The sequence below is a fragment of the Homo sapiens genome, chromosome X (genome assembly GCF_000001405.40).
Source record: "Homo sapiens chromosome X, GRCh38.p14 Primary Assembly".
Classification (NCBI taxonomy): Eukaryota; Metazoa; Chordata; class Mammalia; order Primates; family Hominidae; genus Homo; species Homo sapiens.
Genome location: NC_000023.11, coordinates 114,058,711 through 114,076,373, shown reverse-complemented (window position 1 = coordinate 114,076,373; position 17,663 = coordinate 114,058,711). Strand labels below are relative to the sequence as shown.

The 17,663-nt window shown below is 40.0% G+C and overlaps 4 annotated features.

The window, feature by feature from the left end:
• Positions 4,131–5,330: an enhancer, noted in NCBI's record as "MED14-independent group 3 enhancer chrX:113314234-113315433 (GRCh37/hg19 assembly coordinates)". NCBI's record gives its function as "activates an origin of replication core promoter dependent on BRD2, BRD4, P300/CBP and CDK7 cofactors, and independent of MED14, by STARR-seq in HCT116 cells {active_cell/tissue: HCT116}" and the evidence as "EXISTENCE:reporter gene assay evidence [ECO:0000049][PMID:35650434]".
• Positions 4,229–4,743: an enhancer, noted in NCBI's record as "H3K27ac hESC enhancer chrX:113314821-113315335 (GRCh37/hg19 assembly coordinates)". NCBI's record gives its function as "activates a minimal SCP1, AML or CMV promoter by ChIP-STARR-seq in naive and primed H9 embryonic stem cells {active_cell/tissue: H9 hESC(naive and primed)}" and the evidence as "EXISTENCE:reporter gene assay evidence [ECO:0000049][PMID:30033119]".
• Positions 4,701–4,995: an enhancer, noted in NCBI's record as "tiled region #12400; HepG2 Activating non-DNase unmatched - State 24:Quies". NCBI's record gives its function as "activates a minimal TATA promoter and a strong SV40 promoter by Sharpr-MPRA in HepG2 cells {active_cell/tissue: HepG2}" and the evidence as "EXISTENCE:reporter gene assay evidence [ECO:0000049][PMID:27701403]".
• Positions 4,744–5,260: an enhancer, noted in NCBI's record as "H3K27ac hESC enhancer chrX:113314304-113314820 (GRCh37/hg19 assembly coordinates)". NCBI's record gives its function as "activates a minimal SCP1, AML or CMV promoter by ChIP-STARR-seq in naive and primed H9 embryonic stem cells {active_cell/tissue: H9 hESC(naive and primed)}" and the evidence as "EXISTENCE:reporter gene assay evidence [ECO:0000049][PMID:30033119]".

The window sequence follows — 17,663 nt, the reverse complement described above, 5'->3', positions numbered from 1 at the left end:
ACCTTTGCCTTCTACATAGTAAGTATTAAATGTTTAAAAAGAGGCAGACTCCTGTAACTGTGTCAAAAAAATAAAAAATAATAAAAATAAAAGAGTTATAAAGAGGTAGACAGAACGTAGTAAAAAAAATACTGTCATGTATAAGCAAAGAAATATGTACAAGGATGCTGTTTGTGTACTTTTTTGTACTGACCAAAGATTAGAAACAAGTTAAATGCCTATCAGTAGAGGACTAAATAAATCCTGGTACATCCATGCATTAGAGTAGCTTGCAACAATTCAAAAAGAAGACACCTGCTCTTTATAAACATGAAGGGAAGTATCTTCAAATATATATTAAGTGGATAAAAAGTAGCAAGATAGTATGTGTGATACACTTTGTATAATAAAAATGATGGTTGTATAGTCATAAACCTTTCAAAGAGGATATACAAGAGACTGTTAAAGTTGGTTGCTTCCGGGGATGAGAAAAGAAGGCAGAAATAACTGTAGTTCTTAAATGAACAGCAAGATTCTGGTTAGATAATTTGCCTGATTTATTATAGGAACTAGGCACAGGCATATTCCTCTATACATAGATATTTCACATCCACCACTCAACATGATAGTCAACAGGCACAGCAGAAGCACTAACAGATCAGAAGAGATACTAGCTGTGAAGCCTCAGCAGTTGAAGTGCATACCTGCTGAATATTACAGCCCTGTCCTCAATTGATTTACTATGTCACTCGGATTGGTAGTAATGCAATTTTAAACCTGCACTCAAAAATGATTCTTTAAAAAACTGTTAAAGCCAAGCACCTTTGCTGATCAAGTTGCTTAAATACTGAACTGATTAAGCAAATCTCTCTTGACATTTAAGGCTTTTGTCATTATTCATGTTTCCCCCACCTCCCAGCTTCCACCACCGGTTAACAAATTTTAAAGGATGACATCCAGACAGTTCAATGGAGAAAACACCTACTAAGGGATTCTTATCATCATGGAAATCATGTTTATCTCTCCTTGTTTTGACAGCAGAAGAGATAGAATACAATTCTGGAAAACTAATAATTAATTTCAAAGCCAAAAAAAAAAAAAAAAAGTATTGCATTGGCCACTAGATGGCCCCCATATATATTTTTCCACTATTACAAAGAAAATATGGAAGAAACAAGTGAGAGAAAAATATGTATTAAAATAATGTATGATTCTTTACCTTTACATGAATAATCACATATAGATATTATGAATCTTCATTTACCACGTATTTAGCGTATCTTCACATTGTGGAACTATCAAACACTCTTACCTTTACTAGTAACACTTCCAATAGTACCTATAAAAATATTTTAAGAATTAAAAGTTTTAATGTTTGACTTCTGGGCAACAGCAAAATTCTTCATCTAATTTTGTTACTTGACGTGTAGCAATAGCAAATTTTTTTCTTTCTTAGTTTTGAGTCACTGCTATGATTGCCACAGAGTCTACTCTTTTATATACTTTAAGTAAATTCTCCCTCTTTTTAAAACTTAAAGAAAAAAATTTTGTTTTAATTCAGTATCTGGTTTGTGTCCGAATATAAGAAAAAAAAAACCCTCCAAACTTTATGAGTTTAAATTTTGAACATAAACAAGTTATTTACTTACAGATATACATAGCTTTCTCTCATTTAACAGATTATATATATTAAAAGCCAAAGCATTTTTTATGTAATAATGACAGTAAATTTAAAATGTTAGCTGATTTGTATTTCATTTAGCTTATAACCCATTTAACGATCAGCTGCTTCTAAAGAGGCACTTTCATCATTGTGCATTTATAATGGAAATATCTGAGATTCCTAAAAATAGTAAAGAATATGTGATTGCCTTAATGATTAATCACCTGTAGTTCGGCTGGTTACAGAATATCAATGTGTATCACATTTCACTAATGATCATTACCCTGATTTTCTCATTTTCTGCTTTCCATAAAGAAAGGACTAATCAGTTCCAGGTCCTGTGAAATTTTAAATAGAAAACAAATTTAACTTCTGCTTGCAAATTATATTTTCCCCATATGCTATCCAATTCAGGGTCTCAAGTCTGATTCTGCACAGCCTTATAGCATGCCAGAGAAATCACCTGTTTGGAAAATCTGCAATTCTGACTTCATGTTTTAATTGGCAATTTCCAGTTATATTCTGTTTCCCGAGGGGCACTGGGCACTATTGAAAAGACCTGAAATGCTGCAGGCTGCTATTACCGCCTCTTTTCCCCTTGGTGGTCAGACTTGCTTCCTTTGTTCACTCACTTTTGTTTCTCAGCCCTTGAAATCTGCTTAACTTGGAGGAGGTTTTAGAGTTTAAGAATTAAAAAACGTTGTACAACATAAACACAACTTATCCTAACATTTGGCCTTTGGAAAAGGAGAGGCTGAAAAAGTGACAGAAGCTGTTCTTTGAATCTATAAAATATTTTCCCCTGCTATCCTACTTAAATTGGCAATGAGATTTCAAGACTGCATTGCAGCAACCGAATCAGCAGATTTTCAATACCCTTGCATCTTTTTCTTTTCACAGGAGAGAAATATCACGTGAAGACTAAAATCATCCCAATTTTGTTCATCTCCTTGTTTGTTTTACAGTTAAAAAGCCATTTCATGTGCCTGGCACAGTGGCTCATGCCTGTAATCCCATCACTTTGGGAGGCTGAGGCGGGTGGATTACTTGAGGCCAGGAGTTCAAGACTAGCCTGGGCAACCCTGTCTCTGCTAAAAATACAAAAATTAGCCGGGCATGGTGGTGTGCGCCTGTAGTCCCAGCTACTCGGGAGGCTGAGGCAGGAGAATCGCTTGAACCTGGGAACCGGAGGTTGCAGTGAGCTGAGATGGCTCTGCTGTACTCTAATCTGAACAACAGAGTGAGAGTCTGTCTCAAAACAAAAGAAAAAAGAAAAAACAGCCATTTCATGCAATAAAACATTACTATGAAAAGTATTGTCGATGTATAGATAAATGTTGCACTTCGTTCACATTCTCCATCTAGTTGATTTAAAAACCTCCTTGATTCTCCTGGGGCACTGGGACATATCAACTTCCTGTTGGTTCCCAGGGCAATTTTCAGATCCTTTGCATATAATAATCTCTTTTTCTGTTCTTTTTATTATTTTGTGCTTCTTATTTTTCTTCATTCCTGAGTCTTTCATTGAAAAGTTAAGAATAATATCTGAAAACAGGTGTTTCATCAGGGGAAAAGTTGGTATAGAGAGTCATTTGAAGGACTCTTTCTCTTTTCTTTGAATGGCTTATCAAAAACGATTCAGAAAACACATTCCCTCAGACAATTTCAATCTATTCAAATCCCTGAGACCTTTAAAGGTGTTAGTTCCTAAACTGTGTTTTACTGTGTAAGGCTTCCTGGATGGCCTTGGAGGAAAGGGATATTGAAGAGAAGGAGAAGAGATCTCGACCCTCCCCCTCCAACTTACAAAGACACTATCTGAGAAATGAACTTTCATCTGCATGGGTTGTACTTAGCTGTGAATTTCTCCTTTTAGTTTTCTTTTCCCCATTTTTCATTATTATAAACAGTCCCATTCTTTCCATGCCTCTTTTTTGCAAGTTGAAGTGTTTCTTGAAATCTCTATAAAGATTGGATTTTTGTCAGGAAATAGGAAAGATAATGTTGGGGCTCAGAAACTAATATCCCCAAATAGGTGTTGACATGCTGAACTGAAGAACTCTCAAGGTCTCTCTGACCTTCCCCACTGCCCCCATAGCCTCTCCCAAAGAAGCTGAAGTTCCTTTATCTGCCTAATATCCAGACCCACCAAGGAGAAAAATTGTTTTTTCTTCCCCTCCCTATAAGACCAAGAATGTAACCACACCTGAACAGACCCTTGCACGGTCAAACAGAACTATTTACAAGTTAATCTCTATTCCTGGATCCATTCATTCTCCCTCGTAATTCCCTCAACAGAATTCCTCTTCTCCACCCTTCCATAACCTATTTTATCAGGATGGTATTGTAAAAGTGAACTAAATATGGCCTGAGAAGGACTCCGTATTTCTATATTTGAGTCCTTGTGGATGAACTGTAACCTAACTTAATAGGTAGACAAGATTGAAAACCTAACTTAGGAATATGCATCTGTAGCAATAGCTGAGTCTTGGCTGATCCCAGCAGTCATACTTCAACCATTCATACACTGCTGAGTGTTCAAACTCAAATCATTCATTGCTCAATTAAACTCCTTTAAATTTAATTCAACTGAAGTTTTTCTTTTAAGAGTATATAAGCTCCCGAACATCCTTGGGGGATTAGGTGTTCATTCTGAAGGCTCCCGTGTATATATGTTAAACAAATTTGCCTTTTCTCCAATTAATCTGTCTTTTGTGAGTTGATTTTGTTACAGTCTCGCCAATGCACCACAATGTAGCAGTCTCTTGTTGTTAGGTATTACCTGGAGATCTTTGTCTAATGGCGAGAAAATCCAGGACGTGGACACACCAAGAGTGAGGTTAGAGCAGAAGTTAAAAAAGTGAAAGAAAGAGAGAAAGCATTCTGCCACAGAGAGGAGTCCTGGAGGAGGGTTGCCATTTTTGCAATTGAACGCAAAGGCTTTTATAAGAAACTGATGAGGGCTGGGCGTCTTATTTGCATAAGGCACAAATTTGTGGTAGCTCCACCCAATCCTCCTAATGTGCATGCAGGCCCTCAGCTTGAGTTACTCCATATTGCTTTGTTCTCCTTACTGTGCGCACGTGCCAGGGGACAGAATTTTCCATTGCGGGCATGTCTGGGCAAGTCAGCTGTGTAGCCTTTCTTGTCTGTGTAGCTGTGGCCATGGCTTAGGCAAGCCCCCTTGTGCAAGTTCCCTTATCTGTGCCAGCAGGCTGTTCTTTTGTTTGAAAGAATTCATCCAAGGACCCACACTAACTGCCTGCCTGACTGGGTTTTTTCCTTTCTCCTCTCTCAATTTTTTGGTGAACCTTCAGAGGGCCAAGGTGGAAGCTCTCCCTGATCCTACGGTAACTAACACTGAAGCATTTTCTTTTAGCAAACCCATTCAAGAAATATTTATTGAGTGCCTACTAAGTTCCAGACACTGTTCTAGAATAAGACAATGATCCTCTTAAAATATTCTTATTTAATAGTTAGAATTACTTTCAACGTTTGCCCAGTTTATAGGTGAGAAAAATCAAAGCTCAAAAAGGAAAGAATTGAGATTTAAACATATCTATCTGAATCAAGAGTACAGATTATATACCCTCACCAGCACAAGTGGAAAACTCTTACTATTGAAAAGTTCTTTTGTCTGTTGAGATGCAACTCCTTATACATTTCTGCTATTTTCCTAGAACACTGTTTTTGGAGGTCAAGTCTAATCCCACTTTCACATTACAGTCCTTAAAAAACATGCAGCCATAAAAAAGAATGAGATCTGGCTGGGCGCAGTGGCTCATGCCTGTAATTCCAGCATTTTGGGAGGCCAATGCAGACAGATCACTTGAGGTCAAGAGTTCAAGACCATCCTGACCAACATGGTGAAAACCCATCTCTACTAAAAATATGAAAATTAGCTGGGCATGGTAGCACACACAGCTCCTTGAGAGGCTGAGGCAGGAGAATCACTTGAACCTTGGAGGTGGAGGTTGCAGTGAGCCGAGATCACACCACTGCACTCCAGCCTGGGTGACAGAGTGAGACTCCATCTCAAAAAAAAAAAAAAAAAAAAAAAAAAGAACAAGATCATGCCTTTTGCAGGAACATGGATGAAGCTGGAGGCCATTATCCTCAGCAAACTAACACAGGAACAGAAAACCAAATACTGCATGTTCTCACTTATGAGTGGGAGCTAAATGATGAGAACACATGGACATAAAGGAGGAAACAACAGACACTGGGTTCTACTTGATGGGGGAGGGTGGGAGGAGGGAGAGAAGCAGAAATGATAACTATTGGCTACTGGGCTTAGTACCTAAGTGATGACATACTGTGTACAACAAACCCCTGTGACACATGTTGATCTAAGTAACAAACCTTCACATGTACTCCCTAAACTAAAATAAAAGTTACAGAAATATAGCAGCTATACTTCTTGTATTCATTATCCAGCAGGCCCTGTTCTAAGTACTTTATATGCATTAAGTTCTTTAATCCTGACAACACCTCTTTGTGCTTTGTTTTACAAATACTTATGTCACAGCTGATACCTATCAGGCATTGTTTTGAGTACTTTACAAATAATAATTCAGTACATCATCATAATAGTTATAAAGAGAAGTAACCTCTATTTTTATTTTATATTATTCTTCTAGGTCTTTTTCTATGCTTATCATAATATATGTAGTCAAAACATACATTACATTCTTTTTTTGCTGTATTTATTAAATATTAAATAATATGGCTTAAAAAACGTTTGATGTCATATAGACATGCTTCATGCTGTTCATGTACAAATTTTACGGAAGAGGAAAATGAGACTTTAAGAGAGGTTAAGTAATTTGCTGAAGGTCACTGCCAGAATTCAGAACACGATACCCAAAAGTACAAAGTTTTCGCATGCTGAATATTTTTAACTCAAGAAGATTGTGAGGGCTACAGAAGCAGGAAGGTCTCTCCAGTGTTCTCTCACCCTCCTTTCTCCCCTGAAGTGGGTTAGGGAAGCTAGAATTCCTCTCCCTTTAAGCAAATGAGAAAACCTAGGAAGGGGCTGGGCGCGGTGGCTGACGCCTGTAATCCCAGCACTTTGGGAGTCCAAGCCTTGGCAGATGGCTTGAGCCCAGGAGTTTGAGACCAGCCTGGGCAACATGGTGAGATCCTGACACTACGAAAACTACAAAAAATTAGCTGGGCGTAGTGATGAGCACCTGTAGTCTCAGCTACTCAAGAGGCTGAAGTGGGAGAATTGATTGAGCCCAGGAACTGGAGGTTGCAGTGAGCCAAGATAGTGCCATTGTATTCCAGCCTAAGCAACAGAGTGAGACCCTGTTTTAAAAAAGAAAAGAAGAAAAGAAAAGAGAAAGAGAAAGAAGGGGAGGGGAAGGGAGGGGAGGGAAGGGAAGGGAAGGGAAGGGAAACCTAGGGATGTCACTTGCTGACCTCCTCCCTTCTGACTTGGAGACTCTCATATAACAAGTGTCCTACCGTATGGAATAAAGAAGGGGGAGATGGTCGGGGGGATGGAAAGATTGTTACACAGAAACACAGGAAAGAATCTGAGGACACAGGCCTTACTGAGTTCCCCCCAATTTATTACCATTAGATAATACCCCTTTTTTGTCCAATCACATTTCTCTACAACTATCCACCTCTTATATCACACTTAGTATAAAAATACGTAGTTTTCCCTGGGTCTTGGGTCTTCATTTTTTAAAGCTCCGTGTCACATAAAACTTTGGCTAAATAAGTTTGGTATGCTTTTCTCTTGTTAATCTGTTTTATAGGGATATCAGCCATGAACCTTGCGATGGATGAGGAAAAGATACTATTTTTTTCTTCCTTACATCACAAATTTGGGAAGTGGCAGACTTGGAATTTAAACTTAGGCTGCGTTTCTCTAGAATCCACCTTCCCACTATATTATTACTACCTTTCTTTAAAATATTTGCATATGAGTGTCATGCAACCTTCTGCTTCTGCCTTTCTTATAACATCAACAATATCTTCAGTCTGTTCTCACCATCTGATATTAGAAATCAGCTCCATCATTCTATTTGCCTTCCTTTAAATGCAATGCAATTTGTTTATTTTCTTTTAGAATGTGATTCCCAGAACAGATATTCTAGGTGGTTATGAAACTATGCGGAGTTTAGATACTATATCACTATTATGGCCTAAGAGCCATTACATTTTAGGTAGCCATATCTACATTTTGCTTCACATTGAATTTATTGTTGCTAACCCTCCCCCAACTTGTCCTTATTATATATCACCATCATAGATTCAGTGCATTATTCAAGCTGGCAAGACATTTGAGGATCTGGACTCTGCTATTCATCATAGAGGCTCTTACTCTCAGTTATGTATTATCTGCATATTCTGTGAGCATGTTCTCATATCTGCATCCAAATAAGTCACAGATAAAAGTACTTAAATGCAAGTATTTGGTTGGCCTGGTGGCTCATACCTGGAATCCCAAGCCTTTGGGAGGCCAAGGCAGGAGGATCACTTGAGGCCAAGAGTTTGAGACATGCTTGGGCAACACAGTGAGACCCTATCTCTACATTTTTTTTTTTTTTAATTAGCCGGGCATGGCAGCACATGCCTGTAGTCCTACCTACTCTGGAGGATGAGGTAGGAAGATTGGTTGAACCTAACAGTTTGAAGTTACAGTGAGGTATGATGATGCCTCTGTACTCCAGTCTGGGTTACAGAGTGAGACCCTGTCTCTAAAAATACAAAATTTTAAAAATGTATAAATAATTGCAAGCAACAAGGATAGAGCCTTGCAGGTCACAAGGGACTTCACTCCAGATTGATGCTCATTAAATAATGAGGCAGCTTTCAATATGGTTATTTAATCAGAAATTAATCTACATGAATATTCTTGCATTTAGCTCACATTTGATTTGTTTTGTTTTTTAACCTCCACATATTCAGCTACGGTCCATATTTGTTTACAGGAAAATAGTAATCACACATGTCAAAGACCTTGCTTTGTTTCAGTATACTATGTCTTCTGAAATTCCCTTATCTACAAATTAGTAAATACATTAAAGAAAAGATTGGCTGATGGTGGCTTGTTTTTATAGAGGAGCTGGTCAGAAGATACTTGAATTACCTTCTGTAAAATCTATGTCGTCTCTAGTGTTCAGTAGCCAACATTCACTTATTTATTCCAGAAATAGTTATTGAGTAGCTACTGTATGCCAGAAACTCCTCCAGGTTCTGGAGATACAACAGTGAATGAAACATAAAAGTGTTTAACAACATACATGTCACATTCTATTATAAACAACCTGTGCCCTATGAAAGGTAACACAGACCTGTAGAGTTTATTTATATTGGAAAGCCAGGTGCTAACTACAATTCACTCCTTGTTCCCCGAAGTTATAATCATCCTTTCTGCAACTTCTAAAGCTGCAGACTGAGGGATACTATGGGGCCAGATGGCTACTGCTGATCAGAAATAAAATAAGCCTTAGGTGTCACCACTTTCAACCTCCTAGGAAAATGTGAATTCCTTTTACAGCATCCTCCAGCATACCTGCTCAAAGACTTTATGATTATAGATCTTCAGGTTTGATGTTGTAAAAATGCTAGCTAGTGTGTAAGATAGAATTCAGACATTCTTGGTTTTGCCTGGCCAAACTAGGTGGTGCACTGTCAGATCTTTTGCGTGGTGGACTAGGGTACCTATGCTATGTAATCTTCACAATGAACCAGTTTCTTTCCTTTTTGAGCTCTAGAGCCCAACCCACATGACATGGCTCACGGGCCCTTCCTCCCTCTTCAACGCCAGCAACAATAGGTCAAGGCCTTTACTCATCATTATCACTCTGACCACTTCTGTCCCCCTTGTCCACTATTAAGGCCCTTGGTAATTACATTGAGCCTACCTTGATCATCCAGAATAATTTCCCTATTTCAAAGTCCTTAACTTTATCACATCTGCAAACGTAGCTGACATATTCATAGGTTCCAGGGATTAGGACATGGACATTTTTGAGGGGTCATTATTTTGCCTACCATACCCTCCTTCTGGTCTGAGTTGTATTTTCTTCCTTTTTGAGTTATTTAACATCTAAATAACATTGCTATTGATGTGGTGAAAATAGTTGCTTGCTCTTCTTTTCTGTTATTCTGGCTACATTGTGAACTCAGCACTACTCACTGAGGTCAGATCAGCTGGCTTCCCACTCTCCCTGTTTTCACCTTTACACTAGTTCCTCTGAAGCTTTGCAGGATTTTTCTTGAGTCAAAAGGACAGTATCACTAACAGACAGGTAACAAACATGATGAACTGCTTTACTTCACCCTCTTGATAATTTTTTTTTCTCCAAATTGCTCTTCACCATCATCATTCTTGCCCAGCTTGGCAAGTATGAGCAGGTCAGAAGATACTTGAATTACCTTCTGTAAGGAACACGAGAATGCAGGTCAACAATGGGATTTTTGACCTCACTTATCTAATCAGAAGATAATCTGACTCTGTCAGTATTCATGGCACTCAGAAGATACTCAGGATTTTTTTCAAAGGTGATGGTGGTGGTGATGTGTGTGTGTGTGCACATGTTCATGGCTGGGTGCATGTGTGTAAAGACAGAGAGAGACCCGGATAGCAAAATTTGCTTCTCACTTTACCACCATGGCATATCCAGTGTTTATCTGTGGCAACAGTCATGTATTTTCCTCCCCTTTATGCGCTTTTTTGTTGCCCTGTCACACTACCCACTTCCTTCTCACCATCTGCTAGGTCCTGAGACATGGACTGCCTGTCTTCTTAAACTTGCCCAGACCTGTCCAGATGTGTCTATGATGGATTTTATTGTGGCAATTTCTGTTATAATTTTTTATATACTATTCCAATATAAGCTACATAGTGGCTCTATTGTGGACATGTCATTTGTTCCTTGAATCGTTCTGTTTTGTTCCTTCCTTTTATTGCTTTTCTTATAACTTGACTCAGCAGAGCACTAGACTGACTGGCACTGGGGAAGATAGCCACATTCCTTCCCTGCCCCTTGCTGATCCTGCTGCCATGCTTGATATCATTGTGCTCAAAGCTGAATTTGTTTAGCCCCCATATATTCCTCTGGTACACATCCCGGCTTTTGAAAAACTGACTTCTGCTATCAAGATTGTATGATTTTAAAACAAAACAAGTATCAAAGCTCAACTTCCATTTTATATTTGTATATAATTTTGATAAATTCTGTAAGTAGAGGGTTTTTTATGTGCAAATTTCTGTGTACACGGGGAGGGAATTTATTTTCGATTTCTTAAGCTTCTCTCTCTCTTTTTTTTTTTTTTTTTTTTTTGAGACAGAGTCTTGCTCTGTTGCCCAGGTTAAAGTGCAGTGGGCAAGATCTCACCTCACTGCAAACTCCACCTCCTGGGTTCAAGCAATTCTCCTGCCTCAGCCTCCCGAGTAGCTCTGACTACAGTCGCACGCCATCATGCCCAGCTTATTTTTGTATTTTTAGTAGAGACAGGGTTTCACCATGTTGGCCAGGCTGGTCTCAAAATCCTGGCTTCATGATCTGCCCACCTTGGCCTCCCAAAGTGCTGGGATTACAAGCGTGAGCCACCACGCCCAGCCACAATTTCTTATATATTAGACACTGAGACAGATACTTTAAATCTATTATTACTAGGTTTTTGGAGTTTTTTTGTTTTGTTTTGTTTTGAGAGGGAGTTTTGCTCTTGTCGCCCAGGCTGGAGTGCAATGGCGCGATCTCGACTCACTGCAACCTCCGCCTCCTGGGTTCAAGCGATTCTCCTGCCTCCACCTCCCAAGTAGCTGGGGTCACAGGCACCCACCACCACACCCAGCTAATTTTTTGTATTTTTAGTAGAGATGGGGTTTCACCATGTTGGTCAGGCTGGTCTCAAACTCCTGACCTCAGGTGATCCACCCGCGCCGGCCTCCCAAAGAGCTGGGATTACAGGCGTGAGCCACTGTGCCAAGCCTTATCATTACTAGGGTCTTAATCTACTACTTTGCTCCAGACAAATTTGCATAGCCTTGGTGTATTAGTTTGTTTTCACACTGCTGATAAAGACATAGTTAAAACTGGGAACAAAAAGAGGTTTAATTGGACTTACAGTTCCACATGGCTGGAGAGGCCTCAGAATCAAGGCAGGAGGCAAAAGGCACTTCTTACATGGTGGTGGCAAGAAAAAATAAGGATGAAGCAAAGGTGTTAACCCCTGATAAACACATCAGATTTCGTGCGACTTATTCACTATCATGAGAATAGCACAGAAAAGACCAGCCCCCATGATTCAATTACCTTCCCCTGGGTCCCTCCCACAACACGTGAGAATTCTGGGAGATATAATTCAAGTTGAGATTTGGGTGGGGACACAGCTAAACCATATCACTTGGTGAGGAACAGCTATGAGTTTTACAAAAGTGTGAGAATGCATTTTTTTTTTTTTTTTGAGATGGAGTCTCCCTGCTGCCCAGGCTGGAGTGCAGTGGCACGATTTCCACTCACTGCAACCTCTGCTTCCTGGGTTGAAGCTATTCTCCTGCCTCAGCCTCCCAAGTAGCTGGGACTACAGACACCTGCCACCATGCCCGGCTAATTTTTGTATTTTTAGTAGAGACGGGGTTTCACCGTGTTAGCCAGGATGGTCTCCATCTCTTGACCTTGTGATCCGCCTGCCCCAGCCTCCCAAAGTGTTGGGATTACAGGCGTGAGACACTATGACCGGCTGAGAATGCATTTTTAAAGTTTCTCCAAAACTGAAGAAGTGCTTTTCCAAAAATATTCTTCTATACATGGGAATAAGTTAACAATGACATTGGATGCTTAGTATGTACTAAGAACTTCTTTGAATATTTCAAATACAGTATCCCATTTCTCTAAATTTTAAGCCCTGGGTTAGTACACAGAACTGTGAAAAGTAGTGAATTTTAAATTCCACCAATTATTTCAAATTATCTAGTGGGTCTAGCTGTCCCAAGGGGAGAGAATAACATCCAGAATCTGCTCCCTTCATACAGTCTTAAAAGGAAAGAATTGAGAGTCTAATATATGTTAAGCACTCTGCTAGTAAATTTACATGTATAATTTTATTTTATTTATTATATATTTATTATTATTATTATTATTGACACCGAGTCTCTCTCTGTCGCCCAGGCTGGAGTGCAATGGCATGATCTTGGCTCATTGCAGCCTCCACCTCCCGGGTTCAAGCAATTCTCCCACCTCAACTTCCCAAGTTGCTGGGACTATAGGCGTGCACCACCATGCCCGGCTAATTTTCTGTATTTTTAGTAGAGATGGGGTTTCACCACGTTGGCCAAGCTGGTCTCGAATTCCTGACCTCAAGTGATTGGCCCGCCTCGGCTTCCCAAAGTGTTGGGATTTCAGGTGTGAGTCACCACGCCCAGCCTTATTTATTATTTTTGAGACAGCCTGGCTCTGTCGCCCAGACCGGAGTGCAGTGTCACGATCTCGGCTCACTGCAACCTCTGCGTCCCAGGCTCAAGCATTGTCATGCCTCAGGCTTCCGAGTAGTTGGGACTACAGGCATGTGCCACCAAGCCCAGCTAATTTTTGTATTTTTAGTAGAAGTGGGGTTTCTGTATGTTGACCAGACTGGTCTCAAACTCCTGGCCTCAAGCAATCCACCTGCCTTGGCCTTCCAAAGTGCTGGGATTACAGGTGTGAGTCACTGCACCAGGCCCTTACATATATAATTTTATTATTATGTGTGCCCAAATAAGCTAGGATGGGGGTGGGAAAGCAGTGTCATTCCAGGCAAGAGCAAACAGCAAGTATGCAGACAAAGCATGAATGAGGTTGACTTTCTGATAAAGGTGTGTAATGTTTGTAGGGGTGATGGTGTGGTTGCTATTCTTCTTTCCCCATAATTGTCCTCTAAGTTCTTCATTACTTCTCAGTAGCACATAATATCACACAGTCCTGTACTGCTTCCCTACCTTCTGGGAACATTTATAGCAATGTAAAAGGCAAATGCCTATTTACCATGATAAAAAATGCAAATGTCGGCAGGGCACGGTGGCTCATGCCTGTAATCCCAGCACTTTGGGAAGCCGAGGCAGGTCAGGAGATCAAGACCAACCTGGCCAAGATGGTGAAACCCCCTCTCTACTAAAAATACAAAAAAATTAGCCAGGCATGGTGGTGGGCGCCTATAATCTCAGCTACTCGGGAGGCTGAGGCAGAGAATTGCTTGAATCTGGGAGGCGGAGGTTGCAATGAGCCGAGATCACACCACTGCACTCCAGCCTGGGCCACAAAGTGAGACTCCGTCTGAAAGAGCAAAAAACAAACAAACAAACAAACAAAATGCAAATGTCACTTTAAAGCAGTAATCTCTAATCCCACGACTACTCCCAGACCACACGTGAGCTTTCCTGATCACTGCAAGATCTTTTCCAAGTGGGTCCCAAATCAGGCCTCTTTGTATTCTCTCAAAACTACTTTCTTCATGAAAAAAAAAAAAAAAACACACACACATCTTGTCTTTGTGGCTCCCTGGACCTAAACATAAACATATAAACTTCCCATTGGAATGTAAGCTTGATGAGGGCAGATATTTAAATTGTTTTATTCATAGTGCCAGTTTTATACACACACATAAACACCCATCTTCCTTTACTCTAGTGTAGTCTAGTTCCTTTACCTCCCTCCTATCCTGGAAACAACTCTACCTCCCTTATATAACCTTAGCTACATATGTTTCTCACTACTTTCCTCATAAGTTCCAAGGTAGTAAATGAAAGAGACACTGAAGTCAATCTAGCAACTTTTGTATTGTATAAGCCTGCAAGGACAGAGGTTTTCATTCACAGCTTTTAGCTGATGTCTAATCACATCATTAGGACTGTCTTGTACATTGTATTATGTGACAGACAATTGCTAGTGTTTTAAAGATTTTTTGTTCTCTTCTACTTTCAAACACATTTGTTCTCAAATTTAAGTATACAGATGTGATTTGTTTTGGCCAATAAACTGTAATCAGAGGTGTCACTTTTGTTAAGCAGCATTTAAGAGCCTGTGCACAATTCTCCATGCTCTCTCTTCCCAGATCCCATATATAATGAGAACATGTGTTGATAAGGTGTCACAGGATTAAAGCAATAGGGCATACTGTGCCACTATATAAAGCACAGCTTCCCTAGGGACTCACCTGGACCTAAAGCACTTCCAATGAGTGAAGAATATACTGTTGTTGTGTTCAACTGATAACATTTTGGTGGTGCTACTTCAGCATAACCTACTTTATCTGACTGAAACAAGAATTAGATACATAGAAGTAGATGTTGCAAAACCATATTTCTAAATTATCTAGCATTAGCTTAATGATTGGGAGGGGTGCAACTAGCAAGCTGCTATCAGAGGCTGTAAAGACTGTGATATAGTATACTGCTGATGGGAATGTAAATTAGCACAGCCATTATGGAAAAAAGTATGGAGGGTCCTTAAAAAATTAAAAATAGAACTAGCATATGACCCAACAGTCCTACTACACAGTATGCATCCAAAGGAAATAAAGTCTATCCGTGAGACACCTGTGCTCCCATGTTCATTGCAGCACCACTATTCACAATAGCAAAGATACGGAATCAATCTAAATGTCTGTCTGTCAGTGAATGAATGGATAAAGAAAATGTGGTATATAGACACAATGGAATGGTATTCAGCCATAATAATGAAATGCTGTCATTTGTGGCAACATGGATGAAACTGCAGGATGTTACGGTAAGTGAAATAAGCCAGGCACAGAAAGACAAATATCACGTGTTCTCACTTATATGTGGAATCTGAAAAAGTTGTACTCATGGAAACAGAGAGTAGAATGATGGTTGCCAGAGGCTGTGTGTATGTTTGTGGGGAGGATTGAGAAAATGTTGGTCAAAGGATACCAAATTTCTGTTTGACAGGAATAAATTCAAGAGGTCTGTATATAATACATTGTTATTAACTGTAGTAACCAAGTATACAACTTGGTTACTTGGAAGTATATAATACATTGTTATTAACTGTAGTTACTACAGTTATGTATTATATACTTCAAAATTGCTCAGAGTACACTTTAAGTGTTCTCACCACAAAAAAATAAGTATATAATGTAATATGAGTATTATCTTCATTTAGCCATTCTACAATGGATTCATATTTCCAAACATCAGATTGAACATTATAAATATATACAATTATTATTTATCAATTTAAAATAATAATAATTGATTCATCCAGTTAAATAGAAACCCAGAAGTCCCTCTTGTGACCTCCCTTTCCTTAATCTCCCATACACAATCCATAACTGAACCTCATCTATTGTGTGCTTCACAAATAATTCTCAAATCCAGACGCTTCGCCCAACCACCAGGACCAACCCTAAATCAGGCAACCATTACCTCTTACCTAAATGATTTCCATAGCCTCCTAACAATCTTATTCATGTCCATTTTTGTTCCCACTCTTCCACTTTCCTCACTAAATCCAGAGTAAACTTTTCATAAGATAAATCTGATTTTGTTACCTATTTTATTTAGTCAAAGACTATTCAGTCTTCAGATTTCAGCTCAAACATCACTTTTTCAAAAAATGATTCTGGGGCTGGGTGTGGTGGCTCACGCCTGTAATCCCAACACTTTGGGGGGTGCCGAGGCAGGAGGATCACTTGAGGCCAGGAATTCAAGACCAGCTTGGCCAACATGGCAAAACCCCATCTCTACTAAAAATACAAAAATTAGCCAGGCATGGTGGCGCACACCTGTAATCCCAGCTACTTGGGAGGCTGAGGCATGAGAATCACTTCAGCCTGGGAGACAGCGGTTTCAGTAAGCTGATACCATGCCACTGCACTTCAGCCTGGGCCACAGAGCAAGACTCTGTCTCAAAAAAAAAAAAAAAAAGGATGGAGAGTTAAGAAATTTCTATCTTTTTGGCAATTGAAAAATAAAAGATAACTGCTTCTCAGCTTTAAAAATATAATATTTAGAAAGCCTTTGAAAAACAACAATTCAGTAGACACTCCCTCCCAGTTAAATTGTCTTAAGGTGGCCAGGTGCAGCGGTTCAAGCCTGTAACCCCAACATTTTGAGAGGCTGAGCGGGGAGAATTTCTTGAGACAAGGAGCTTGAGATCTGAGACAAGTCTCAATCAAGTTAAAAAGTTTATTTTGTCAAGGTTAAGGACGTGCATGTGACACAGCTTCAGGAAATTCTGATGACATGGGCCCAAGGTGGTTGGGGTACAGCTTGCTTTTATACATTTTAGGGAGACATAATGCTAAGGGAGGAGACCACCCCTCATATTGTCTTATGCCCAATTTCTGCCTCCAAAGAAAAAAGAAGTAAAAACTAAAAGGCGGAAGTGAAATCCACAGGCAGACAGCCCGGAGCCGCACCCTGGGGCTGGTAGTTAAAAATCAACCCCTGACTTAACTGCTTGTGTTATCTATAGATTCCAGACATTGTATGGAAAAGCATCGTGAAAATCCGTCCTGTTCTGTTCCGTTCTGATTACCAGTGCATGCAGCCCCCAGTCATGTACCCACTGCTTGCTCAATCATTCACGACCCTCTCACGCGGACACTCTTAGAGTTGTAAGCCCTTAAAAGGGACAGGGATTGCTTACTTGGGAGCTCAGTTTTTTGAGACGTAACTCTGCCGACGCGCCTGGCCAAATAAAGCCCTCTCCTTCCTCAACTCGGTGTCTGTGGCTCGTCCTGCTACAATGCATCTACCCATACAGGTAAGATTTACATTGATTTTATCTGGCAGGGCAGGATAATTCGAAGCAGGGTTGTGGGTGCTTCCAGGTCATAGGTAGATTTAAACATACCCTGGGCCTGGTGCGGTGGCTCACACCTGTAATCCCAGCAATTTGGGAGGCTGAGGTGAGTGGATCACCTGAGGTCAAGAGTTTGAGACCAGCCTGATCAACATGGTGAAACCCCATCTCTACTAAAAATACAAAATTAGCCAGGTATGGTGGCACATGCCAGTAATCCCAGCTACTTGAGAGATTGAGGCAGGAGAATTGCT